Below are 26742 nucleotides of genomic sequence, written 5' to 3' on the forward strand. Positions count from 1 at the left end.
TCTTCAGACCACGGTGGAATAAAACTAGAAATCAGTGCAATAAGAAAACTAGAAAATTGACAAATATGTGAAAATTAAACAAGATACTCTTCAACCACTAGAAAAATGAGAAAAAATTATACCCAAACTTAGCAGCGGGAAGGAAATAATAAAGATTGAAGCATAAATAAATGAAATATAGAATATAAAAACAAAATAAAAACCAATGAAACTGAGTTGGTTATTTGAAAATAGAAAAATTGACAAATCTTTAGCTAGACTAAGAACAAAAGAAAATTCACAATTAAAAAATCAGAAATGAAACAGAGGATACTACTTCTGATGCCACAGAAATAAGAAGGATTACAAGAGACTGCTATGAACCATTATAGGCTAACAACTTAGATAACCTAAGAGAAATAGATAAATTCCTAGAAACACACAACCTACGATGACTGAATCATGAGAAAATAGAATATATGAAGACTTACAACTAGCAAGGAGATTGAATCAGTAATCAAAAATCTCCCAACACAGAAAAGTCAAGGACCAGAGGGTTCCACTGAAAAATTCTACCAAACATTTAAAGAAGAATTAAAATCAATCCTCCTCAAACTCTTCCAAAAAACTGAAGAGGGAACACTTTCAAATTCATTGTATGAGGTCACCATGATCCTGATGCTAAATCCAGACAAAGATATTAACAAAAAAGACCACACGCCGATATCTCTAACAAACATAGGTACAAATATCCTCAACAAAACAATAGCAAGCCAAATTCAACAACACATTAAAAAAAATCATACGCGATGATCAAGTGAAATTTATCCCTGGGATGCAAAGATGGTTCAACATATGAAAATCAATCAATCACATAAACAGAAAGGATAAAAATCACATAATGAATTCAATAGATGCAGAAAAAGCATTTGACAAAAATTAACACCTTTTCATGATAAAAAACACTTTCAACCATTAGAAATAGAGAAAATTATATAAATATAATAAAGGCCACATATGAAAGCCCACAGCTAACATCATACTTAGTGAAAAACTGAAAGCTTTTTCTCTAACACCAGGAAGACAAAGATGTCTACCCTTGCCACTTCTATGCGATACAGTACTGAAAGACCTAGCTAGAGCAATTAGGCAATAAAAAGAAGTCAAAGGCATCCAAATCAGAAAGAAAGAACTAAAATTATCTTTGTTCATTAACGATGCAATCTTATGTGTAGAAAACCTTATTTAAAAAAGCTGTCAGAACCAATAAAAGAATTCAGTAAAGATGCAGAATACAGATTCAGCATACATAAATCAGTTGCATTTCTATATACTAAAAATGAACAAGGCAAAAAAGAAATTAAGAAAATCCCATTTACAATAGCATCAAAAAGAATGAAATATTTAGAAATAAACTTAACCAAGGAGGCAGAAAACTTGTACACTGAAAACTACAAAACATTGCTAAAAGAAATTAAAGAAGACACAAATAAAAGACAGCACTGGTCATGAATTAAAGATTCAATATTTTTGAAATATCCACATGACTCAAAGCAATCTACAGATTCAATGCAATCCCTATAAAATCCCAATGGCATTTTTTACAGAAATAGGAAAAAGCAATCCCCAAACCCCAAAATTCAAAGGAACCACAAAGACCCCTAGTAGACACACACACACACACACACACACACACACACACAAAATCCTGAGAATGAACAAAGCTGGAGGCCTCGTACTTTCTGACAGGGGCCTACAAATGTATGAAAAAAGCTACAAAAATCAAAAACAGCAAAGCAGTAACATAAAAACAGGCATGTAGACTAATGAAATACAATAGAGCACCCAGAAGTACATCCACATGAATATAGTCAACTGATCTTCAACAAGGGTGCCAAGAATACACACTGGGGAAAGGATAGTTTCAACAGGCAGGGTTGTGAAAACTGAGTGTCCACACATAAAATAATGAACCTAACCCTTATCTGACATCACACACAGAAACCTGCTCAAAATGGATTAACTCCTTTCTCATTGTTGGAACTGAAATTTGTAGATAGGGAAGGATAGGAGGCTAGAATAATCCATGTAATGGATTAGAGTTGGAGACATCAATATGAGCTTGTTTAGCTTAATATAGATATGTATGATAATATAAATATAGATATGAGTATATACCCAGGTTGGTATACACATACATATTTCTTAGTTCTGTCAGCACCAAAAGGGCCTAAAAGAAATAACACCTCAGTAGCAATGAGTATACCTAGCTCTGTTTCTAACACCATTCTTCAATAAAAGGAACCAAGAGTTCCTTGGAGAAATAACTGATTCTAGGATTGGACAGGAAATACACAAGATGAGCCTGGGGCATTTTGCACTGCCAGAGAGTAAGAAAATACTTTCCAAGATGAAAAAGAAAAAGAAGATGCACCCCCCGCCCTGAAAAAAATAAAAAGTCCAACCTCATTGATGGGGATATGTCAAAGGGACACAGGAGCCAAGTGAAAGAGCTCCTAATGGCCAAGCCATTAGAACAGTTTGAGTAACAAAGCAGTACTGAATTATAACCCAAAGTATAAAATGAGTCCATACTGATAATAAGTAGAAATCTCAATAGTGGAAAAGAAACAAATGGGTACAAAATTCCACGACTTATGTAGATATTCCAGCCTCAAAAAGGAGAGCACACCTTCCCACTCCTTAAGTATGGGCTGAACTATGGTGATTTCCTTAAGTACAGTAAGAAAAGGAGAAAATGAAGAGTCAGTTCACAGTGAAGAAACCTGTACCTCAGCCAGGTATCAAGATTAATATCAAGCCATAAATCACGTTAGTAGTATGTACCCTTGATTTGATGTGATGAAAATGGCATTTTATCTCTGTGATCTTCCTTCCCAACACCCATAACCCAAGTCTAATCATGAAGAAAACATCAGACAAATTCCAACAGAGAGAGACATCCCACAAAGTATTTCGCCCACACTCTTCAACACTGTCAAGGTCATCAAAAACATGCCAACTAAATGTAATACGGCATCTAGGATAGAATCCTGGGGCAGGAAAAGGACACTAGGGAAAAACTTAGAAATTTTCTGTTTGAATAGACTCTAGAATTTACTTAACATTGTGTCAATATTAGTTCACTAATTATAACAAATGCACTGTACTAATGTAAAATGTTAATAATATAGAAACTCTGTACTATCTCTTAAAGTTTGGTTTATCTAAAACTGTTCTAAAACAATATAGGGTCAATTTACATGGGGGAAAAAAGATAAGCCACAGATTAGAAGAAAGTATCTGCAAAGTATCTATCTAATAAAGGATTTGTATTCAGAATAAGTCAAAAGAGCTCTCAAACCTCAATACTAGGAAAACAAAAAATCCAATTGAAAAATGGGCAACAGATCTGAGCAGACACTTCACTGAAGATGTATACATGGCAAATATGCACATGAAAAGATGCTTAACATCATTGGTCATTAGGGAAATTTGTTAAATATTGCTAAAACCACTGTGAGACAATACATATTAAAATAACTGAAATTAAAAAGACTGGCAATGCCAAGTGTTGGCAAGATGGAGCTGGAACTCTCATAGACTGCAATGGAAATGCAAAATGTTAAAATCACTTTGAAAAAGCTTGACAGTCATTATTCTAAGCGAAGTAACTCGGGAATGGAAAACCTAAGCTATGAGGATACAAAGGCGTAAGAGTAATATAATGGACATGGTGGACTTGGGGAGGAAGGCTGGGAGGGGCATGAAGGATAAAAGATTACATTTAGGGTACAGTATACTGCTCGGGTGATGGGTGCACTAAAATCTCAGAAATCACCGCTAAATAACTTCTCCGTGCAACCAAAAACCACCTGTACCCTCAAAAATTATTCAAATAAAATTTTTTTTTAATTTCGGTAGTATCTTGAAAAAATAAACCTACCATATCATCCAGCCATTTCATTCTAAAGTACTTGCTCAAAAAAAAGCATATGTTCGTTCAAAGATGTATGCAAGAAAGTTCGCAGCATTCTGTGTATTCTAATGCCTAAAACTTGAACCAACCAAAATATCCATCAATAGGTGAATAAATTGTGGCAGAACTCTACAACATAATACTTCTGAACAATAAAAAGAAATGAACTACGGATACATGCAACATGGATGAAACGCAAAATAATGCTGAAAGAAGCCAGATTAAAAAAAAATTACACACTATATGATTCCTTTATACTAAACTTCCAAAAATGCAACCATCTATAGTGACAGGAAGCAGATCAGTGGTTACTTGTGGGAAATGGAAGGGACAGGGACTATAGAGGACCAAGAGGAAAGCTTCAGGAGTGATCAAATGTTCATTATCCTAATTTGTGGTGATGCTTTCATGGATGTAAATATGTATATGTCAAAATATCACATTGCACACTTTAGTATGCACAGTATTTAGTATACTGATTCAATTTCGATAAAGCTGCTGAATGTGCTAATGGAGTGTTACCAAGTGGTGAGAGAGAGACTAACTATAGCAAGACGTTTTTCTTGTAAAGGAGATACTGCATGGAAAGCTGAAATTTAGAAGAGACTTCACAATGAGTGCTACTCGAAGTGCTGTTCTACAAACCATCACTGGCCCATCATAACAAATAACTTGCACAAGAAGATAAATTAACTACCACACTAAGCACACTATTTCCTTCAGCTGATAATTTTTTTAAAACCAAAATTTCTCGATGAAGACAGCAGTATACTGATACACTTTCTGGCCCAAGCTCCTTATTGAATCACTGACCTGTAACAAACAGTTCACAGACAAGCACTTCTCTGCAGACACATTTTGAGTAGCACTGTTTAGATCACACTCAGAAAACACTCTAAGCCTATCCTCATCTGTATGATGAGAATAGTAATAATTGCTCCGGATGCCTCAAAGAATAGTCTGATGCTCTAATAAGCCATATGGCTTGCAAATAGCAAGCACCTATTAATTATGTATTATTGAGTTACGTATAATTACGTATAACTACTGAGTTATTTGGAGTCATTTAAAATAAAGCAATATATAAAAATAAAACAAGACACTTTTCATTTGCTCAGAATGCTTGTTGTTAAAGTTAACTGAGGTTACAAATGGTTTGTTTTTCCAATGAATTTAACATCCCAAAGTATTCAATATTGAGTTTATTAACAAAAGTGGATGTGTACATAGTCTTATCTCATATTTGAATATACACACTGCATAATGACAGCTATTTTTTATCAGAGCAATGTTTCCCAAACATAGAAGCGCAGAAGTAAAATGTTATTTTCATTTTTCTGTATTCTTGATTTTAGTTTCTAGAATTCATAAACTCAAAACTGTTCACATAAGTTTAGAGTATTTGTTCTTGTTTATCTCTGACAAAGAGGTGTTCTCTAAGAAATTTTATATTTTATAATCTTTCCTCTGAAATATGAGAAAGACATGGAATCTCCTGAGTTATATATGCAGCTTATACATTCTTTGAAAAAATTATTTTTTAAAAATATCACAAAGTATATATCCATAATATATGTTGCTATTCACACAATTCTTTAAGCAATATTCAAGTATATTTGTGCTTTATATTTTTACATTACTTTAGAACCTATTTTTAGCTTTCAATAAAACTATGTATCTCCAAAGATTTCTCAAATATTTAATAAATGAGGCAAAACAATCATGAAAATATAAACTGCTACTATAGATTTTTCATCTTTCATTTTATGCATTTCCTCTCAACCATGTAATTTCCTGTTAAGGAATGTTGATAAATTTTTATCTTTATAATATCAATATTGCTGCTTTCTCAGCCTGGTGCAACAGTCAAGACATCACAAGGTTTCTGAACACGCAGTATTCACTCTGCCATATAAGTTGGAGCAATAAAATCTGATAGGACTGGTATTCATCATTTCCAGTTATTTCAACTGCAGGACCACCTTAAAACACAAATTGAAGAGAAAATATCAGGTTATACAAGACTGATGCTGATATATTCCATATTAAATGCTTTGAAGTCTCTGAAAAAGGGCATGGAGAACTCATAACAAGCAAGTACAATGCACAGTAACTGATGACATATGCCTGCTGGAATCTACGGTTCAGAATCTGTTACCATTTATATCGGGCTCTATCACATGCACCCTTCACACATGTAGCCCCAGCCATCCAGCCAAGCCTGAGCTGCTCGTTTGGTTAATAGGCATGTGGACCGGTAATCAAAGCACTACAATGTTTGAGCAAATGCAGAGTGTGGAGAGAAGCTGAAGTTTATCAGAGTTTTTAAAAAGGAGGATCAAGAAGATTAAATAGTAGGGCAATAGAGGTTGTAAGAATCACTGAGACTTAATCACTGAGATGAGATCACTAGAGAAAATGCTGAGCAATAACGAAGAAACATACATATACAAAGACAATTATTTTTATTCCTCCTCACAACAGTTTCCACTGTTTAAGTATTATTTTTCTCATTTATTAAACATTAGGAGCAGTTATTGTTATTTAGCCACTCCATTGTAAATGTGAAGTTTTTGGACATTCATTAGTTCTGTCTTGCCTCAACCTGATTTTGTCATAATAACTACAAGTCAGATTCTGTCTTCCATAGTTAGAGGATCATAAAAGCAATTTTCTATTATTAGTCCAGTTAATAAAGCCACTTTTTTTAGGATCGTAATTTTTTTAATCATAAAAACTCTTCAGAATCAATTTTATTATTCTAAGGTAAAAATGTTATTTTTATCATTAACGAGCATTGCAGCAAAAGAAATTCAGCTGTTAGAATAGCACTATTATTCTTTCAAAAATTACTTAGTACATTATGTTCAAAACTAATTGAACATTACAAGTTATAATTAATATCTAAAACTAGAGCTCAGAACATATTAACAAAGTATTTTCTGTGCTTAATTAACATAAAACATCTGGAGAAAAAACACTAAAAGTGAACTATGAGTCTAGGAGTATCAATCAAAACTTAAAACATTTGGCTGGGTGCAGTGGCCCATGCCTGTAATCCCAGCACTTTGGGAGGCCAAGGCGAGTAGATCACTTGAGGTCAAGAGTTTGAGACCAGCCTGGCCAACATGGTAAAACCCCATCTCTACTAAAAATACAAAAATTAGCCAGGCCTGGTGGCAGGCATCTGTAATCTCAGCTAGTCTGGAGGCTCAGGCACGAGAATCGCTTGAACTCGGGAGGCGGAGGTTGCAGTGAGCCGAGTTCGCGCCGTTGCCCCTCCAGCCTGGGTGACAGAGTGAGACTCCAACGCAAACAAAAAAAAACCCCAAAACCTTAAACATTCAAATCATATGACAAAATTATAGCAAATACCTTATTCGCTGCTTCCAAGGACTGTATTAGATTCTGCAGCTCCTCTCTACTCATTTCAATAGAATAAGGTTTTACTTCACCATTTTCTTTTACATCTAGATGCAGGCTTAAAAGTGGCATTCGTAATGCAGCAATCTTGTCACTGGAAAGTGCAAGCTGTTTAAAATCAGAAAAATAGCAATTAATAAATAGTAAAAAGAACTATATTGAGTATACATCAGAGGTTAGTTAGCAGTACATTTTTTAAAAGTACTGTTTGCTGTTGAGTATAGAGAAAGGTGAAAGAAATAAATTAAGTCCATGCTAAAGCATATTTGAAGAACAGAAAGAGAAAGGAGAGTGAATAAAGGAGAGGAAATCGGTAGGAAAGTAAGACAACCAGTCAGCAATCTTGTGGCAGAAGCAGGTGTCTAGATCAGAGTCATGCCTGGGAAGTACTGAATGGGTCTAATGTACAAGAAACAGAGAATTCTTAAAGAAGACTGAAGGCACCAAGAAGATGAAAGTTCATGTACAAAGATAAGTGAGACCAAAAATAGTGGTAAACTCTCAGAAATTAAGATGCTTAATTCATGGTCAGCTATCTATCACAATATTGATAAATATGTTATCAAGATACCATCTTCAATTAGAGCCACTCAACAGAAACACTCTGTACATTTACCTCACTTCTTAATTTCTTTCTCTGGAATATATCCTAGGGGAATTGGAAGAACCAAATATTTATAATACTAATACTTCTTGAAATGAGCACTGTAGCTTCCTTGGCAGACAGCATAGGGAAACTCAATTTTTCTAGAATCTGAGCCAGAAAAATCCACAAAAACTGAATCTTTGTTTAGAATGCTGCCACTTGCAAAAAAATTACTTATGCAATGATAAGGGACATCTTCCCTAATGACCTCAAAGGATCTCCCTTGTGGTACATACACTATAGAATCAAATCTTGACATAGCTCCTCTATTCTCTCACCCAAAAACAGGACCCATAATATCTCAGATCTGGAAGTATCAGCTTCAGGTTAACTATCTTATGCATAATTCTCCTCCTCAATATTTCCAATAAATAGTTTTTCACCCTATGCTTGAATACCACCAATGATGATGCATGTGCTACCTTGAGAAGCGGTTACAATCATTTCCAGATACTCATACTTGTTAAAAAGTTCTTCCCCAGGTTGAATTGAAACGTATCTTATTGCAAATAATATACGTTAGTCCTTCACCTAGTCTCTGGAGCCACAAAGCATTTATATATTTCCCCATCTATGAATTTTAGCCTTTTAAAGGTAAGTGTCATGTTTCTACTAGGTTTAATCTTTTCCAGGTACATGGTCTCAGTGTTTCAAAGCAATTTCACACACCACGATTTTAAGTTCCTGGTCATTCTTTTCTAGTTGGAGTCCAATTTGCTTAAATATCTCTTAAGTTTGGCAGCCAAAACTAAACAGATAATACACTAAGAAGATATTATCACTGGAAACAGAATGTACTAGCACCATCTCTTGCTTGAAGAACTGCAATTCTGTCAGGCACAGTGGCTCACGCCTGTAATCCCAGCACTTTGGGAGGCTGAGGTGGGCAGATCACCTGAGGTCGGGAGTTCTAGACCAGCATGACCGACATGGCAAAACCCCATCTCTATTAAAAATACAAAATTAGCCAGGCGTGGTGGCACATGCCTGTAATCCCAGCTACTCAGGAGGCTGAGGCAGGAGAATCACTTGAACCCGGGAGGTGGGGTTGCGGTGAGCAGAGATCGTGCCATTGCACTCCAGCCTGGGCACCAAGAGCGAAACTCCATCTCAAAAAAAAAAAAAAAAAAAAAAACAGAACTACGTTTCTACCAACAAAATACGGGCCTGAATCAACACGAATGAAGCTATACTTTGATAAACCAAAATAACTAAACATTTCTCATATATGCTACTATTAACATCTCTCTTATCCTTTATTTATTTATTTTTTTCTGAGACAGAGTTGTGCTCTGGTGCCCAGGCTGGAGTGAAGTGGCACGATGATCTTGGTTCACTGCAAGCTCCACCTCCTGGGTTCAAGCAATTCTCGTGCCTCAGCCTCCCAAGTAGCTGGGACTACAGGCACACACCACAACACCCAGCTAATATTCATATTTTTTCAGTAGAGTTGCAGTTTTGCCATGTTGGCCAGGCCAGTCTCAAACTCCTGGCCTCAAGTGATCCACCCGCCTTGGCTTCCCAAAGTGCTGGGATTACAGGTGTGAGCCACCGTGCCTGGTCTCCTTTATCTTTTATATTTATAAAAATATAAACTCTGAAATTGAAATTAAATTTATAAAATTTAAATATTTAAATTAAAAATCCTCTGTTTAGGTTGCCTGATTAATTTATTTTGCTTCATTTGGTCACTGATTGTAATTGGCTGTGACATAATTTTGAACTTTGTGTCACATTATACACTTGTTATAGCTCTAGTTTTGTATCACCTTCAGATCTGATAAGCATAATATTCATAAAAATGTTGAAAATGACTGGGCCAAGACCAGAGCCACAGAGACTTTTTAACTAATATAAATTCATCTGTCTTTGCTTGGTTATTTATCCAATTATGAACCCACCTGTTATCTTCCCACATTTTTCTCTACTTAATCCACATACACAATGTAAGGCACTTTATCCAGGGTCATGCTAACATCAAGAAACACAATGTATTTATTTCCTCTTCATCTACTGGTCTAGGTATCTTATAAGGACAAAAAGTTGGTCTGAAATTCTTCTTTATGAACTCTACTGATAGTGACTCTCAAAATGTATTAAAAACTAATGTTTTAATAATATCTTATAGATTTTCCTCCTAGAGGTAGAATCACATTTACCAGTCTTAAGAAAGCTATAAAGTCTAGAAAGTTGTGGTCAAAAATATATATTGACCAAGTGGGATGGCTCACGCCTGTAATCCCAGCACTCTGGTGGGTGGAGGCAGGCAGATCACTTGAGGCCAGGATTTGAGACCAGCCTAGCCAAAATGGCAAAACCCCAAATCTCCACCAAAGATACAAAAATTAGCCGGGCATGGGGGCACATGCCTGTAGTCCCAGCTACTCAGGGGGCTGAGGCAGAAGAATTGCTTGAACCCGGGAGGCAGAAGTTGCAGTAAGCTGAGATCGCACCATTGCACTCCAGCCTAGATGACAGAGCACGACTCTTGTCTCAAAAAATAAATAAATTATACATATATATATATATATATATATATATATATATATGTATATGTTGACTATATGCTGCCCCATCACTTATGTCATTTAATAATTTACAGATCTAATTATATTTATTATCAATGTAATGTTATTATACATGGCTTAGATGTTTGTAGTGTACTTATGCCCAAGTTAATTCAAGATGTAATTTAAACTATCTTTGATATTTCTTTGGGATAATACATTCCCAAAATAACAAATTTTATATATATGATATTATAAAGATATTTCTCTATATCCAAAAAATGAAATAAAAAATACACATACTCATAGACTCTTACCTTTACCTGCCAATCAAAATCCTGTAGCTGTGCAGAGGAAATAGCAACTATTTCTCTTGACAGAGCCTGTTTGATTTCATCTTTCCTACTTTTCACGCATTTCATGATAGTTTCTTGATGAAGTGAATTCAACTGATTCAACTGCTGAAATATCTATAAAAATAAAAACAGGCAAAAGGGGCTTTCTGTTTAAAATGTAAAAACACAATTCCACTCTCCTTTTGCACACTTTTAAAGCAACAGTAAAAGAAAAAGAGAAATACTTCTGTAACTATAAAAAAGAGTAAGATGAGAATGAATAACCAGAAAATAGGTTTTAACAAATTTCTGCAAAATATACAGTAAAGAAAAAGGACTGATGGAAGCAGCAGCATGGAAATGAATACACCTGGAAAACACCAAAGCTGATACCACCACGCAGGGTGAGTATCTCAAATCCCAAAACAGGAAAAGTTCTGCTCACTGATAGGATGCTCAAAGGAAGTGCTCATTTGAATAGTTGAGATTTCAGATTTTTTGAGTAGGGATGCTGCACTGGTGAGTATAATGCAAACATTGCAAAGTCAAAAAAATCCGAAATCCAAAACACTTCTGGTTCCATGCATTTCAAATAAGGGATACTCAACTTGTATTAATATATCAGACAATGTAGCCCTTAGGCAAGAAGCATTACAAGAAATAGAGAACGACAGTAAAAGGGCAATTCAACAGAAAGACACAACAATCATAAATCCCTCTGCACCTAACACCATAGCTTCAAAATATATAAAGCAGCAAAATTTGGCAATACTAAAAGAAATGAATAAATCCACATTCACAGTTAGAGGTATTAATACAACTCTCAATAGCTGACACAAAGAAACGAAAAAAAATCAATGAGGATATAGAAGAATTGAAAAAATGCATTCTACCTAACCTTAGCAATATATAGAATACTACACCTGACAACTGTACACATTATTTTCAAATGTATATGGAACATTCACCATAACGTACCATATTCTGAGCCATTTGGCAAACCACGACAGATCTCAAAGAACTAAATAATACTGTTTATATTTTTATTACTGGGTAATGAAGTTATGACTAATGAGAAAAGGTAACCAAAAAATTTCTGAATGTGTGAAAATTAAGTAGCACAACACTAAATAAATAAAGTCAATCTCACTTATTCTTCCTGAGAACAGGAAAAAAATCCTTCCCAATTCATTCCATGAGGCCAGAATAAAACTTAACACCTTGACAATAGTATTATAGGGAGGAAAAGAAAAAAAAAAAACACCTAGGCCAAGATCACTCAAATATAGATGTAAAAATCCTAAACAAAATATTGGCAATCCAAATCAAGAGATATATAAAAAAAAAGATAATACATCACGATCAAGTGGGGTTTATTTTGGCAGTGCAGCCTTAGTTTAACATTCAAAAATCACATGAACAAAATAGAGAAGAAACAATAATAAATTCAGGGAAAAGCATTTCATAAAATTCAATATCCATTCATGGTAAAAATTCTCAGCAAAGTTAGAATTGTAGGATGCTTCTTTAGTCTGATAATGGATATCTATAAAATTACAGAGCTAACATACTAAATGGTGAAATAGTAAACACTTTCTCCCTAAGGTTAGGAATAGATATATATCTACTATGACTGCTTTTTTAAAAGAAACACTGACTACTGGTGTTAGCCAATGCGCTAAGGTAAGAAAAATAAATGAAAGATGTTAAAGTTGAAAAAGAAAATTATTATATACAATCTCCCCCCAAAAAATCTGTATACAATTAGACACAGTAAACAAATTTAGAAAGGCTGTGGGACACAAGGTATATAAAAATCAACTGTACATACTAGCAAAAAACTACTGAAAAATTAAAGATCAAAAACATCATTTACTCAGAAATAAAAATATTTGCAAGAGCTCAACACTGAAAACTACAAAATACGAGAGAGACAAACTAAAGCTAATCTAAATAAATAGAGGGCTATCCCATGTTCTTAACTTTGGAAAGCTAAATGTTGTTAAGATGTCAATTCTCCCCATAAATGATCTCTATCAAAATTCCAGCAGGTTTGTAGGTTAAAACTGAAAAGTTGATTCTAGAGGGTTATCCGAAAATATAATAGCCAAGGCACTCCTGAAGAAGCATGAGAATGAAGGTCTTCTATTACCAGATATGAAGACATAATTTAATTTAGCTTTAATTCTACAGTAATTAAAGCAGTATAGCATTGGCAAATATACAAAAGTAGACTAATGGAATACATTGAAGAGTTGAGATACAGAGGCACAAATATAGGGCCACTTGATTTACAATAAAGGCAGCACAGCAATATTGTGGGGCAAGGATGGTCATTTCAATAAATGGTCAACTAGATATTAATGTAGAAAATTGTGAACTTGACCTCCACTCCATACACAAATATTAATTCAAAATGCATCAGTAACATAATGTGAAAGCTAAAACAATCAAGCTTCTACAAGAATACATCCAAGAATCTTCATGTCTTCAGCACAAATATTTCTGAAACAAAACATTAATAGTATTAGCCAGCAAAAGAAATATTGACAAAGTAGATCTGTTAAATTTCATAACTTGTTTCACCAAAAGATACCATTAAGAGAGTAAAAAGGCAAGCACATAATAGAAGATATTTAAAATACATATTTCTAACAATGAGCTTATATCCAGAATATCAACCAAATCAATGACAAACATACATAACTTGATTTTTAGAAAAGTGAGCAACCTACACAAGCTCAAATGATTTTTGACAAAGATGCAAAAGCAATTCAGTGGAAGAAGGATATCCTATGACCATGCAATTTCACTTCAAGATATCTACCCCAGAAAAGCTGGTGTGAGTGTGAACAAGGAGACATGTAAAGAACATTTATAGCAGCACTACTTGTAATAATGAAAGAAGCAATGACTATTCATTAGTCAGTAGGGAGATAAATAAATCCTATTTAATTCCTATCATCAAATACTACAAGGAGTTAAAATACACTAACTAGATCCATGTTTATCAATGTAAAACACAATGCTGCATTTAAAACAATTTACAAGTGCAGACAAATGTTACATTTTATTACAAGTTATACACTGACACACCCCAAATAATTTCAATACACTAAAAGATTCAAACATACACACAATATATAATACAAAACATGAACACCACCTTCAAGAGTGGTGATCTCTAGGTAAGAGTGGGATATCCAGGAGGGGGATAAGGGAATTTAGGTTATCTTTGTAATGCTTTATTTCTGAAACAAACACACACATTGCAAAATGTTAACACCTGTTTAACTGGTAATGTGAATGTAGGTGTCAGTTATATAATTTCTTGTTTTCTTCTGTATGTTTTAAATGTTTCACAAAAGAGTAAAAACAACCAAAAACAAAACTGCAAAAACCTAGGACTTCCACAGATTTTTCCATTCACAATTATAAGGTATTTGTTGTTACTGATGATAGCCCTTGTATTATACATTGCTCTAAAAAACTCAGAGAGAAACCTGAGCATTATTTATTGTAAGTTATAGAAATGTGCAGAGAAGTTACCTCTTCATCAGGTAAGTTTTTACCAACTATGGCTTTGAAAAATTTGGCAATATCTTCTAAAACGTGCATCCATTCTTCTGATTCCCAAACAGTGTGATAATCTTGGTACACAGGATAAGCTCGACCACAAATGCCATCAATTATTTTGTGAAGAAGCTAGCAAGAAAAAAGGAAATAAATGTACTTATAAGTAAAATGATGAAACAAATTTATCTTCCTCTTAACAAACAAATGTTGGGAGATGTTCATGTTATCTGCAAGACCAGCTTAAGTTAAAATGTATAAACCACTTTTAAGATTATTCTAATTAAAAATTAGAACTCATAAAAATCCTAGACTTTCTATTATTATGTTGACCTTCAGAAGCTAAAATAATTTTGTTATAAAAATTACATAATGAAAAAACTAAAAGGAAGATACATATAAAAGATTCCATATTTATAGCAACGACCAAACAAAAGGATAGGACTTATATCAAAGTCTCTTACTGTAGGCCTATAAGCTTCATTTTGCTTTGCCTCCATTTTCACAACATACTTTTTTTTCTTTTGAGGGTCTCACTATGTTGCCCAGGCTGGCCTTGAACTCCTGAACTCAAGCAATTTTCCCATCTCAGCCTCCCAAGTAGTTAGGACTGCAGACGAGCACCACCGCACCCAGCTCAGCAGTTACTTTTGCTGTATTCCCAGAAAGTCTCCAGTACTTTTTTCCTTTTTTTACTTTCCTTTCTATCCTATTAGTATCTTAATATCAGCAACAGAAAGCCTAACACATGTATAACTGAGCATAGTGATTAAGACTACGGATTTTGGAATAAAACTATCCAGTTCCAATCCCAGTTTCAGTATTTTCAAGTTTTATTTAAATGTTCTGAGTCTGCTTCCTCAAGTGTTAAATGAGGATATCATCTATTCTCTTAATCTTGCTGTAAGGATGGAATAAGAATACGTGCAAATCACTTGGCATCTTCCTGGCATGTACAAAGACATGTAGACATTGCTAGCCCTCGTTACCATTCTAATTATTATCACTAGTCCTCCTCCTCCAATTCATGCCTTCAGCATCTATTAACTGAGATAACACAATGCCAGTACTATTCTAAGCACTTAACATTTAATAAGGTTATCTTTCTTGAAGTTATTTGTATCTTACAAGAGGAGTATTTGAACCAAATAACTTGGAAATAATCATATTCCACCCCATTTTAACTAATAACTCCTTCCCTCTAACACCACACATGCCAGAACACAAGCAACTGCTTCCAAATGGTGGCTAATATACTATACAAACTGAATTTTTATTTACCATAAATCAACATACTCAATTTTGAATCCATTCAAAATTCTCTACACCTTATCCTATACTGTCCCCATGCTAAAAAAAAAACCCAGAACTCAAACTGAAAAATAAAAGCATTATCTTTTTTGGAATATGTTTGTTATTCATTCACAAATATGTAATGAACACTTCATCCCAGTTATTAAATAAAGTCATGGAAATGACCTTATTTAATGACAAAGGTCATGGAAATGACTTTATTTAATGGCAAAGAAACTATAATAGCTACCGTTATGGATCCCTAACTAGGTACCACACTCTGGACTGATCCTCACTACAACTCTGAAGTAACCATTGTTATTATTTCTATTTTACAAATGAGGAAACTGAGAATAAATAAGGCCCTACCATAACAGAGCTTTAGTCCATTCGAAAAAGGCAAACATACAAATACATGTAATTTAGAATGATGGGGCCATAATAAAAATATATACAAGGTACGAAGGAGCACAGAGAGGAAGCAAGGAAAAGTCCATCTTAAAAGGATGAGTAGTTGGCCAAGCAAAACAGGAGAGAAGAAGTGCATTTCTAGACACAAGCAAGTTATTTTGGGGGGTGCCTAGGGGGTGACAGGAGACAAGGCTGGAGAGGTGGGTGGAGCCAAATCAAAAAGGGCCTTGTGTACAAAGTAAAAGAGCCTAGACTTCAATCTGTGCTCAACCGGGAAGCAACCTATTCACACATTTGCATTATTTTTCCATATATTTGCTAACAGGTTGGAAGATGTAAGAGAGAGGGTGAGCCCAGATGCCTCAATTTTCAGTTAAGGAGTTAAAGATTAAGGGGCTTAAATTGTTGAGGACACTCAAAATGGAGGCAGTAAAGAGGTAGAAGAGATGTGAAAAGGGGGGGCCATGGATGAAACCTAGAACGTCAGGTTGAGAGGGGCTGGGTGAAAGTGGTGGTGCCACAAACCGAAAATGAGGCTACGGGAGGAGTAGGTCCAGGGGGAAAGAAGAGCTGAGGCAAGGGCATACTGAATTTGAGGTACCTGTGGCAGAAGCCTGACACTCAGGGAAGAGATTTTGGTTTGGGGTTTTTGGGGTTTTGTTTTGTTTTTTACCTGGCATTCTTGAACCATAGAGGAAGAAATTTTTGGCTGGACCTAAAGATTTAGAAGTCATCGACATATATGGTAATAAAGGTTATGGGCCTTATCTAAATGGGTAGAGTGAAGACAAGGAGAGCCAAAAGCCAATAAAACACTCAGAATCAACAGATCTGAGCATAAGTTCCAGCTCTGCCACTAACTGGATGGGCAATCCTGGGCAAGTTAGCCAAAATTTCTGCTGACATTTCAGGTTCCTCACTTGCAAAAACAAAGAAAAGAATTAGGTGTTTTTTTTTCTTGACCCTGGCAGGAGGTAAGTTCATTCCTTTCTGTCTCCTCCACACTTTCTCCAGTATAAATGGAATAGAGGAAACAGGAAGCCAAAATTGAGACTTATAAAAAAGATGCTCCACCAGGGCACAGGCTGTGTCTCACTCACCATTTACCTCATCCCATCGGGGCGCTCAATCTATGGTAGACTTCAATGAAAAACTGGCTGAACAAATGAATGTGGTTGCTTTTTCCAGATTCTTACAAGCCAGGTTCTTTTACAGACTGGAAGTCAATGGGTACATCACCTCTTGGGACGATCCTAACTAAAGTAACTCGCCCAGTTATTTCTCTTCCTACCAACCACCCTCAAGGGGGGAGGCAGGGTCCGCTTCGGTCTTTGTCACATTGTATTCCAGCACCTAGCTCTGTACCTGCTGTCCGGTAGGTAGGGAGCCTTTGGGAGGTTATGTGTTGAATGAATTAAGAAAACGTATACTAAGAGGCAGCAAACACCGACTTAAGCTTTCAAAGCCCAGTCTGGTGTGGGCGCTTCTGCGCGCAAAGCCCCTGGAGCTGCACCTCTAGGCTGGGGGTGGCGCCCCAAGCTGTCCTCCTAGGCTCCCCAGGGAAGGCGGGGACCAACCACCCGAAATCACGCCCCTTCCTCCTCCCTTCCCTAGGGAGCTTGCGAAGGCGTCCGGGTCGCACCCGGCCTGATCCGCACGCCGGGCTGTCGCGAATCCCAGGCCCCGCGCCGCTTCCCCCGGTACCCGCCCTCACCTGCGGGCCCAGCTCGGCCGGCAGCTTCTGCAGCCGCCACAAGGGCGTCCCCTCTTCCGGCTCCATCCCTGCGCGAAGCTGGGGCTTGGGTCACGTGTCAAGGCTGGCCGCTTGTCTAAAGCTACGACTCGCCCACGTGACTCTCGCCGGCGGGGAGGGGCGTGGACCCAAGAAGTCCCTGTGCGCTTGCGCAGAGACCGAACTACCGCTTTCCCCGTAACCAGGGAGACTGCAGTTTGCAGTGATGTGGCTAAGATACCCTTGTGCTATTAAAGGCACATTTACGTATCTTTCAACGCAGTTTGTACCTTTGTTTAGGGTTCTATTGAACTTTCTCTGTGCTCTTTAGAAAACCGTCGAATAAAGGTAACCATCTTTTTGGGTGCCTGGGCATGGTCATTGTCCCAGAGTTTTAACAGAAGTCTCTACTAAAGTATCCTGATTTGCAAGGTAAATTAAGGTTTTGCCATGAGCAACGTTCTGTATATAGATCATCCTAGGGAGAAGGTACTATTTTCAGCCCTATTTGCAGAAAGCAAACATGATTAGAGAAGTCACTAAGGTTGTCAGATTTAGCAAATGAAAATACCAAGCGTCCAGTTAAATGTGAAATTTCAGATAAACAATAATATTTTGTTGTAAGTATCCCCTAAATATTGTATGGGATATATTTATACTGAAAATTATTTGTCCATCTGAAATTCAAATTTAACTGGTGTCCTGTATTTTATCTGGCAACGCTAAAAATCACTGACCTAAGTAAGAGGCCCAGTCTGAAGTTAAACAAAATCAATCAGACTCAAGAGCCATGCTATTAATGTTGGACTAAGCTCAAAGTCCAAATATCCTTTCTGTTATTTCTTATTACAGCTGTTACTTTAATCAGGTGCTGAAGAATTCAGTGGTGGTAAAATGAGCATGTCCTGCAAAAGCGGATAATAATAACTAGTAGACCAGAAACAGGAATTACAATCTAATTTATAAATTTAATAATAAAAGTGGTGCAAAATGGTGAAGCAGAAGAGAAAGTATTCAATCTATGGGCTACGCAGAGAAAAACTACTCATTAGCAGCATTCTAGGTTTACCTCCTACGTCCTTTCTCTGTGTGCCTCAACTCTAAAAGGTGAAGTCAATTTCTTTCTCCCGTGAGTTTTCATGATATTTTAGCTGTCCCTCACTTATTTACCACTTTCTAGTTCTTAATGCAGATAGATGCACAACACTCATTGCCCTATCTTAAATGTAATTGTCTTAAGATACTTTGTGAATAGGAGCTCCCCTAGTAATAGTTAAAATGAGAAGTCTGGAAAACTACTTCACCTGAGTCTTTCTGTAAATCTAATGATGGGTAAGGTCTATTTTGAGAAAAAAACTTAAATTTTATGTATTATAATAATTGGGAGAAAAGTACTTTCAAGCATCTACTATATGTCAAACCCTTCATATATTTTTATCTTACTAATTCCTGCTACAGCCTTGTACAGTGGGTATTACAGATGAGGAAATGAACTTGAAGTAATATATTTTGTAAGGTCACATAGATAGTAGTTACAAAATCACTGGTCTGAGGCCAGAAACGGTGATCTCAGTTTGCATGCTTGACTACCCCTGCTGAGGAACTGAAATGATATGGCTTACCTAAGGCCACGTAACATGACTAAATAAGGTAAAATGACACACCTAACAGGGCCCAAGGTTTAGTCAGAGGACAGAGAATTAGGTCCTAACTCATCTTTCAAGCAACACTGAGTACTAAGAAGAATTTGATCTTTACTCTTGAATTTGGATGGGACAAAATTTAGCCTGCAACAAATATGGTTTCCAAAATAGTTAACAACTTGCAAGAGAGACAGCGCTTAATATTTGCCCTTTGATTAGTAAGAGGATGTTCTTATGTGTGTAATCCAAGAGGTTTTCAAAACATATGTCTGTCTCTTGTAGTTCCATCTCTATGAGGTATATTCTGGTCTCCATCTCCCAAATCTTATTTGTACTATAGCAATCTTTAAATGCATGAACTCTGGAGCTAAACTTCATAAGTTCAAACCCTGGCTCTGCAAATGACTATGTACTCTGGGCAAGCTATTTTCACTTCTCTGTGTTTCTCATTCCTTACAACAACCCTGTAAATTGTATAATTGGTTATAATGACAGCCTAGGATTTACAGGGTGGTTGTAAGTTGATATATGTGAAGTTCTTGCAATGAAGTCTGGCCTGGCACATAGAAAATTGTATTATATTCCCTTCTATGTGGACTTCTTTGCTCTACTGTTATCTAGCCAAAGTCTAGTGGGTTCCAGAAAGTTACCCTCCTAGTGAACTGTCACTGCCTTAGAGATGTGATCTGCATCTGAAACCCAACTAGCCAGCTATATAGTGCTGTATAGGTGATGTAGGTCATTGCTAACAGCTGGGAGAGGTGTACAAAGATCTTAGGTAAACCACAGTGTGTGCCCTTGCTGAGCTTAAACTGGAATTCAAGCTTGCTATTTGTGAAATAATTTGGTGCTCTTTTTCTGAAGTTAGTTTCCTTGAGATTTTTTGTTTTGAGGTGGAAGGAGGAAAGAGTTTTGCGCGCCATGCTTTGGGAAATTCACTCATTCACTCATTCTTTAACAATTGTTGATTAAACATCTACCATTGATTAGATGCTCTAATGACTCTGGGAATGCAAGCAGTGGACAATAATTTACCTTCTGGTTTCAGAGGAGAAGGAGTGCTTAGATAATGAACAAATAGACAATTAAGATGATGAAATATACTGAGAAGTATCTTCAGGAAAATAAAACAGTCATGTAATAGAAAGGGATGGTAGAAATATACCTTAGATTGGTCAAAAAGCACCTAGCTAACAAATGGCATTTATACTAAGGCATAAAGGCTGAAAAGACATGAAGGCAACATCTGGGGAAAAATAGTTGTGAGCAGAATGCAGAGGCTCTGAGGCAAGAGAAAGCCTGCCTTATTCAGCATAATTACCCAAGGCCTGTGTGGCTGGACAGGCCTTGAAGATGCCAGAGATGTGGGCATGGATTTGGTAAAGAAGATACCAGAGATGTGGGCATGGATTTGGACCAGTGAATTGACATAATGTGGTTTACATTTTTAAATGCTTATACCATGGAAACTGGAAAATAGTTATGCTATGCAAAACAGATCTTAGAGTGCAAGAGCAAAAGAAGGGGAACCAATTTGGAGGCTACTCCAGACTTATTCTAACTAATATAGAGATTAGAGTTAATATGGCCTAGTTTCCACCCCCAGACTGTAGAATTCCAGGGGCTTAGTGATAGATGGTGGTAGCAGGAACTAGATACAAATGGAAAGAATCAAAATATATTTTGGAACTAAGACCTATAGAAGTTGATGGTGGATTGGATGCTTGTGGAAGAGAAAGAGATGCTTGTGGAAGTGAAATGCAGACTAAAAGAGATAGTAAAGCATCTGTCATCCAAGCCAGCATGAAGTTTTATGCCCTGAACAAGAGACAGAGCCATAGACTATAGCTTCTTTGTTGGTGAAAGTCTTTTTGAGGTGCAATGGTGTGGTGATTAAGTGTACAGGGTCTAGAGTCAGACAGACCTGGATTCCAGTTATGTCTCCACCACTTACTAACCATATAACCTTGGACAAGTTGGATAAACTCTCATACCTAAGTTCCCTCTACTGAATATAGGGATAAAACTACCACATATTTAATAAAGTTGTCCTGAAGCTCAAATAAAATAATGTACATATCCCAGCCTCCCTTTCATCTGGGGTGGGTGGTGTCCAAGTGCTGGCCAATAGGACGAAAATGGAAGTATTATATAGCACTTCTCGGTACCTTTTATTTAAGGAGAACCCAAATGTACCATTTGCCTTTTTCTTCTTTGTTTCTGCTTCCATCTTGCTTTCTAGAACTCAAATGATGCTGTTTTTGGACAGGGAGGTCATGGACCAAGTACAAAGCGGCAAAAGGATGGAATTAAGGTACCTGACATTGTTGAACCCATGCCTGATGCCACATTAGCTCAGGACTACCTACATGGACATGTACGTGAAATACTACCCTACTTCCCCCTTATTTAAGCCTTTTTTATGGCGGGCTTCATGTCAATATCCCTCAGTCTGATCCCAACTAATATAAGCATTATAGTAAATGACTCCTAATTTGCATCCACGGGCCTGTAGTCTTGGGTTATGATCTCAATGGTAAAAATTAAAAGACAAAATTATAAAATAATAATATACATTTTAAAAATAGGCATTCCTATACATTGCCATTGGCAATTTTTCTAGAGGGTTTTGATTGCATTTATAAAATTTTCTACATGTACCTACTCTTTGACTTAGAAATTCCAGTTCCAGGCCGGGTGCGGTGGCTCACGCCTGTAATCCCAGCACTTTGGGAGGCTGAGGTGGGCGGATCACCTGAGGTCAGGAGTTCGAGACCAGCCTGACCAACATGGAGAAACCCCGTCTCTACTAAAAATACAAAATTAGCTGGGCGTGGTGGCACATGTGTGTAATCCCAGCTACTTGGGAGGCTGAGGCAGGAGAATCCCTTGAACCCGGGGGGCAGTGGTTGCGGTGAGCCAAGATTGCACCATTGCACTCCAGCCTGGGCAACAAGAGCGAAACTTCATCTCAAAAAAAAAAAAAGAAATTCCAGTTCCAGAAATATATAGGAAAAAAAAAATTTGGCTCCAAGAATATTCATTTATACATTGTTTACAATAGCAAATAACTAGGAATAAGTTATTGGCTTAATAAATGATATTATAACATAAAATGAAGCCACAAAAAAGTGATTTTATATAAGAATATTTAATAGAATATAAACTTGCTCACAATAACTATTGGGAAAAGAGTTATGTTTCAAATCTATTTGTTCTGTGTGATCCATGGTGTGCTGGGTGTCTGTGTGTGTAGGTGTGTGCATGTGTAGTGTGCAATTTCCTAGACACAGGAATATACAAAATTTTAGCAATGGTTTTCTTTAATTTGGGAGATTATAGATGATTTTGATTTTCTTCTTTTAGTTTTTCTGCATTTTTAAGTCAAATTTTTATTTAAAAATCTTAAATATTTTAAGATAGCTATAATAAATTTTGACTCTAATGATTCACTTTCATTTTGCTTTCAAACCCAGGTCTTACCTGAACTCAGCCCCTTCCTCCAGTATCTTGCTAAACATCACCAACAACATCAAATTACACTGATGATAATCTGTTTTTTACCCCATTCTCTACAGCTGCAGCCTCCATTGGAATGGGATTTGCTTTCCTAATTGTTGAGTTGTCTTAGGCACTGCATAATATGAATCCCTAGAATTCTAGCCTACTGATAATCGCTAAGCAACCACATATTTTAGTTATATTACAGCAGCCTCTCACTCCTTATTCCAATGTCTGTATTAGGCAGCTGGTTAATTAGTTTAATGGTTAATTAGTTAAATAAAACTGCAGAATTTTAGAAGTTTAACATAATCTTCTTCGTCTTTGTGTGTGTGTGAGTGTGTGTGTGTGTGTGTGTGCGCTTACCTAACAGTCTGATGCATATCGGTGCAGGCATTTAGGTGGCTCTTCTATTCTCTAAGACCTCAGAATTCTCTTTATTCTGGAATTGGTTGCATATGAAAGAGGAAGAATATGAAGGATCACGGAGGGAGTTTTTACGTGCCAGACCTAGATATAATGTGTATCATTCCTACCTGCATTTCATCACCTGGAAACCAATTTCATGGCAGCATGCAATTGTAAGGAAATTTTGGAAATATAACTTAGCTGTGTGTGGAGAAAGAAATGAAATTTAATAAATGTATAGTTGTTTCTACCACAATCATGCCTTTTAAAAAATAAAAGAGAATTTCTCATAGAAGAAATCCTCATATAAACACTGTAAACAATTGTCTTTCACATTTTCATGAGGAGCCATAATCCTTCATGGCTTGCACTTACCACTAGCAAAATATAAAACTGGGCTCCAACTAATGTCTTGCATCTGCCTCAAAAATGTATCGATTCAGATTTATATTAAGAGGAAAATCTGAGAGCCTAGTAATCCAATCAATCCCTTTTCATTTTATTGCCACAATCAGCTTAGATTAAAATTTGTAATTATACCAGTTATATCTGAGAGAAGTCAAGGAGGTGAACTTGGCTGGCTGTTTAGGTAAGCCTCTGGAATATACTAATTCAGAATTAAGAGTCTGTTTTTCAGCTTTTTAGGTCCCCAAACTTGAGCTTATCATTTCATCCAAAAGAGACTGACTCATTGTAACCAAACTCTCAAGAGACTGATTGATAAACCAGAATGTCACAGAGTAGAAATTGTTTTTCTGTAGGATGCTGTATTTTGATCCACAAGTTCTTTTAGTCAACCAAATTATAGATCATAAGGAGGCTCCGTGAATGTAAGACTGAATGAAAGAAAATGGAATAGACCTAAATTAATTTTTTTCTTTAAATTGTCATGACCTAATGACCCTCTTTCATTCCAGGGATATTTCCAGTGAAAGAAAGAAGAAAGCATGCTTTTCTCTTGACTGTGCAGAAAAAAAAACTATGTTTCTTTGATTCTCCATTTTACTAGATGCCATACCTTTGCAATTACTTCATGTGGAGTCTTGACCAAGATTCAGGAAATACTAGAACTTTCAGTCCCAGAAGGTTACTCTGGGCATTACTAGTCCCCATCATTATGAGTTGAGTTTTACTAGTTAATTTCAGACGAAAAATATTTGTTTTTCCCCAAATTCTGGGGTTACGTACTTTTACTACCTATGAACTGACAACTGTATCTTCAGTAATTACAATTTCCAACAAAATGTTATAGGAATAAAGAAAAGATGTTAGTTCATTATTCAGAGTTTATGTTTATTCCTTTAATAAAAAGAAATGGTCTGTATTTCTTCTTTTCACATTTATTTCCTCAGTTCAAACCTGCTTTTCAGGTTATCCTATGACTTGAAGTTGACTAATTTGTTCACCTTAATTAGTTGTGTTGCAATATATATGTAATTAGCTATTTGCATTGCAACCTGCACAAAATTATTCCTGTTCATAAACTACTGAGAGGAAAGGGGCTTAAAGTTCAAAGGAGTTTAATTATGGTCTTGTAACCATATAGAAAATATTTGAATGTTACATTGGCATTGGCTCTATTGCATTAAAAGAAGTTATGAATGACGAATTGGCAAAGATTTGCAAGGTGATGAGTTTAATCTTGTCTGTATAAACCTAGACAGATTTGTTTGCCTATAAAAACTGGTTCTTAGAAATCAGTTTGATAAGTGTCTCATTTCATTCTGGTCAATGAACTTAATAAACTGAAGGCCTTTGTCTTTCTTTTAGGGCATCATATGTAACTCAGAAATGTTAACACCTCTTTATTTCATTATATTTTTGTAGATAAAAATAATCTTGTAGCTTGAGCCACTTAAGATCTCCATTAAAGAGATCTTTAAAATAAACAGATACTTTGATTTAAGAAGAGCAATAGAGGGAGCCCATAACATTTATTTCAGTGTAGCACTAAAGAAAACAATACATTAAAAGCTGAAATCGCTCTGTTAAAGTGAAATACTTAATAAGCTGCAATTTTGGACCTAAGATGTAATACATGCTATATCCTCAGGGGCTGGCATTCTTTAATGGCACACCAGGTTTTCAATTAATCTTTCTGGTGAAGGTTCTGTGCGTGTAAAACCTCCTGCCTCCCAATTGCTACCCCTTTTAAGCCCTGTATTTACAACCACCACATCCGTAAGCTGTTAGGATTTCAGCCAGTGGTTCTTAATCAAAGAAGCACATTCGTCAACCCAGGGAATTTTTGAGTATTGATTTTTAACTTTAAATGTGTCACACTTTTGTTTTGTACTTTTAAAATAGCTTTATAATTCACATACCATAAAGTCTACCCATTTAAAATACAGGTTGGCTAAGTTTACTCAAGCGAGGTTTTCTAAATTTGTATAGGAATGCAATTATCACTATGTCTCCCAAAATGATCCTTAATGCCTGTTTGTAGTGGACACATGGGGAGCTTTAAAAAAAAAAGAAAGAAAGAAAAGGTCATACCCTGCAGACAAATATTGTCGGAGTCTCTTTGACTACTAACACCAATCTTCCGTCATTGCTGTTACAAAACTCCCCAGATAATTTTGACATAGGTCAGTGTTGAGATACAGTGATGTGGACAAAACTTCATAGAAAAGATGAAGATCTGGAAAATGCAAATGTAACCTTTTACTAACCAAGAGATCACCTGGCTTAGACCAAATGTTGTCACAACAGCAGCAGCAGCAATAACAAAGGAGGCCTTTAGAACATTTAGAGAATGGTGGTTTTCTGATCCTGGACTTTTGTTCCTACTGTTTCCTTTGCCTAGAATCTCCCCTCCTTCTTCCTGCCACTCTCTCCATGCACACCTAGTTCGCCTAATGAATTCAGACACAACCCCCAGAGAACTTTAATTGCTGTCTCACCTGTGTTTTCATAACTCTTTGAATAAACATCTATTATAGTCCTTATTGCATTGTGCTGTTTCTTCATATTCTGACTTTCCCATTTTTCTGAGAGCTCCTTGAAATGCAGAGGCCATGCCACATTCATTTGAGTATCTAGACAGTGTCTGGCACAAAGCTGACTCCCAAAAAGTGTTTGTTGAATTCGGAAATAGAAGAGGTGCTTTAATAAACTATGAAGGCCGGGCTCAGTGACTCACGCCTGTAATTCCAGAACTTTGGGAGGCCGAGGCAGGCAGATCACAAGGTCAAGAGTTCAAGACCAGCCTGGCCAACATGGTGAAATCCCATCTCTTCTAAAAATACAAAATTTAGTTGGGCGTGGTGGCAAGCTCGTATAATCCCAGCTACTCGGGAGGCTGAGACAGTA

General features: G+C 36.3%; 1 protein-coding gene and 1 long non-coding RNA gene across 7 annotated transcripts, besides 2 other annotated features; one reads left to right on the forward strand and one right to left on the reverse strand.

Annotated features, from left to right (window-relative positions):
• Positions 1 to 5061: 5061 nt before the first annotated feature.
• On the reverse strand, positions 5062 to 17977 carry COMMD8 (COMM domain containing 8). Of its 2 annotated transcripts, none has more exons than NM_001329668.2 (5): positions 17861 to 17977; positions 14419 to 14574; positions 10858 to 11004; positions 7334 to 7489; positions 5062 to 5940 (listed from the first exon to the last, which is right to left on the reverse strand). In NM_001329668.2, the coding sequence occupies exons 1-5, from the start codon at positions 17924 to 17926 to the stop codon at positions 5920 to 5922; spliced, it is 546 nt and encodes a 181-aa protein (NP_001316597.1). In that variant the 5' UTR covers positions 17927 to 17977; the 3' UTR covers positions 5062 to 5919. The 2 variants fall into 2 exon arrangements, with proteins under 2 accessions (NP_001316597.1, NP_060315.1); NM_017845.5 differs by having other exon boundaries at positions 10852 to 11004.
• Positions 17708 to 17967: a silencer, noted in NCBI's record as "silent region_15399". NCBI's record gives its function as "represses an Ori minimal core promoter by ATAC-STARR-seq in GM12878 lymphoblastoid cells {active_cell/tissue: GM12878}" and the evidence as "EXISTENCE:reporter gene assay evidence [ECO:0000049][PMID:35858748]".
• LOC107986277 (uncharacterized) lies at positions 18158 to 24754 on the forward strand. 5 transcript variants are annotated; one of them, XR_001741681.3, is made up of 4 exons: positions 18158 to 18226; positions 21764 to 21898; positions 23445 to 23603; positions 24348 to 24754. It is a non-coding gene; the product is annotated as an uncharacterized LOC107986277 (long non-coding RNA). The 5 variants fall into 5 exon arrangements; XR_001741680.3 differs by lacking the exon at positions 23445 to 23603 and having other exon boundaries at positions 18158 to 18310; XR_001741682.3 differs by lacking the exon at positions 23445 to 23603 and having other exon boundaries at positions 18158 to 18310; positions 21791 to 21898.
• Positions 19616 to 19665: an enhancer, noted in NCBI's record as "active region_21530". NCBI's record gives its function as "activates an Ori minimal core promoter by ATAC-STARR-seq in GM12878 lymphoblastoid cells {active_cell/tissue: GM12878}" and the evidence as "EXISTENCE:reporter gene assay evidence [ECO:0000049][PMID:35858748]".
• Positions 24755 to 26742: the final 1988 nt, after the last annotated feature.

The sequence above is a fragment of the Homo sapiens genome, chromosome 4 (genome assembly GCF_000001405.40).
Source record: "Homo sapiens chromosome 4, GRCh38.p14 Primary Assembly".
NCBI classification, from domain to species: Eukaryota; Metazoa; Chordata; class Mammalia; order Primates; family Hominidae; genus Homo; species Homo sapiens.

Bases quoted from the DNA above. Each gene is read 5' to 3' on its own strand.
- COMMD8 (NM_017845.5), bottom strand. From the start codon at position 17,926: ATGGAGCCGGAAGAGGGGACGCCCTTGTGGCGGCTGCAGAAGCTGCCG. The intron at 14,575-17,860 runs GTGAGGGCGGGT...TTTTCTTGCTAG, and splicing joins CGGCCGAGCTGGGCCCGCAG to CTTCTTCACAAAATAATTGA. The intron at 7,490-10,851 runs GTAAGAGTCTAT...GATTTTAAACAG, and splicing joins ATTTTGATTGGCAGGTAAAG to CTTGCACTTTCCAGTGACAA.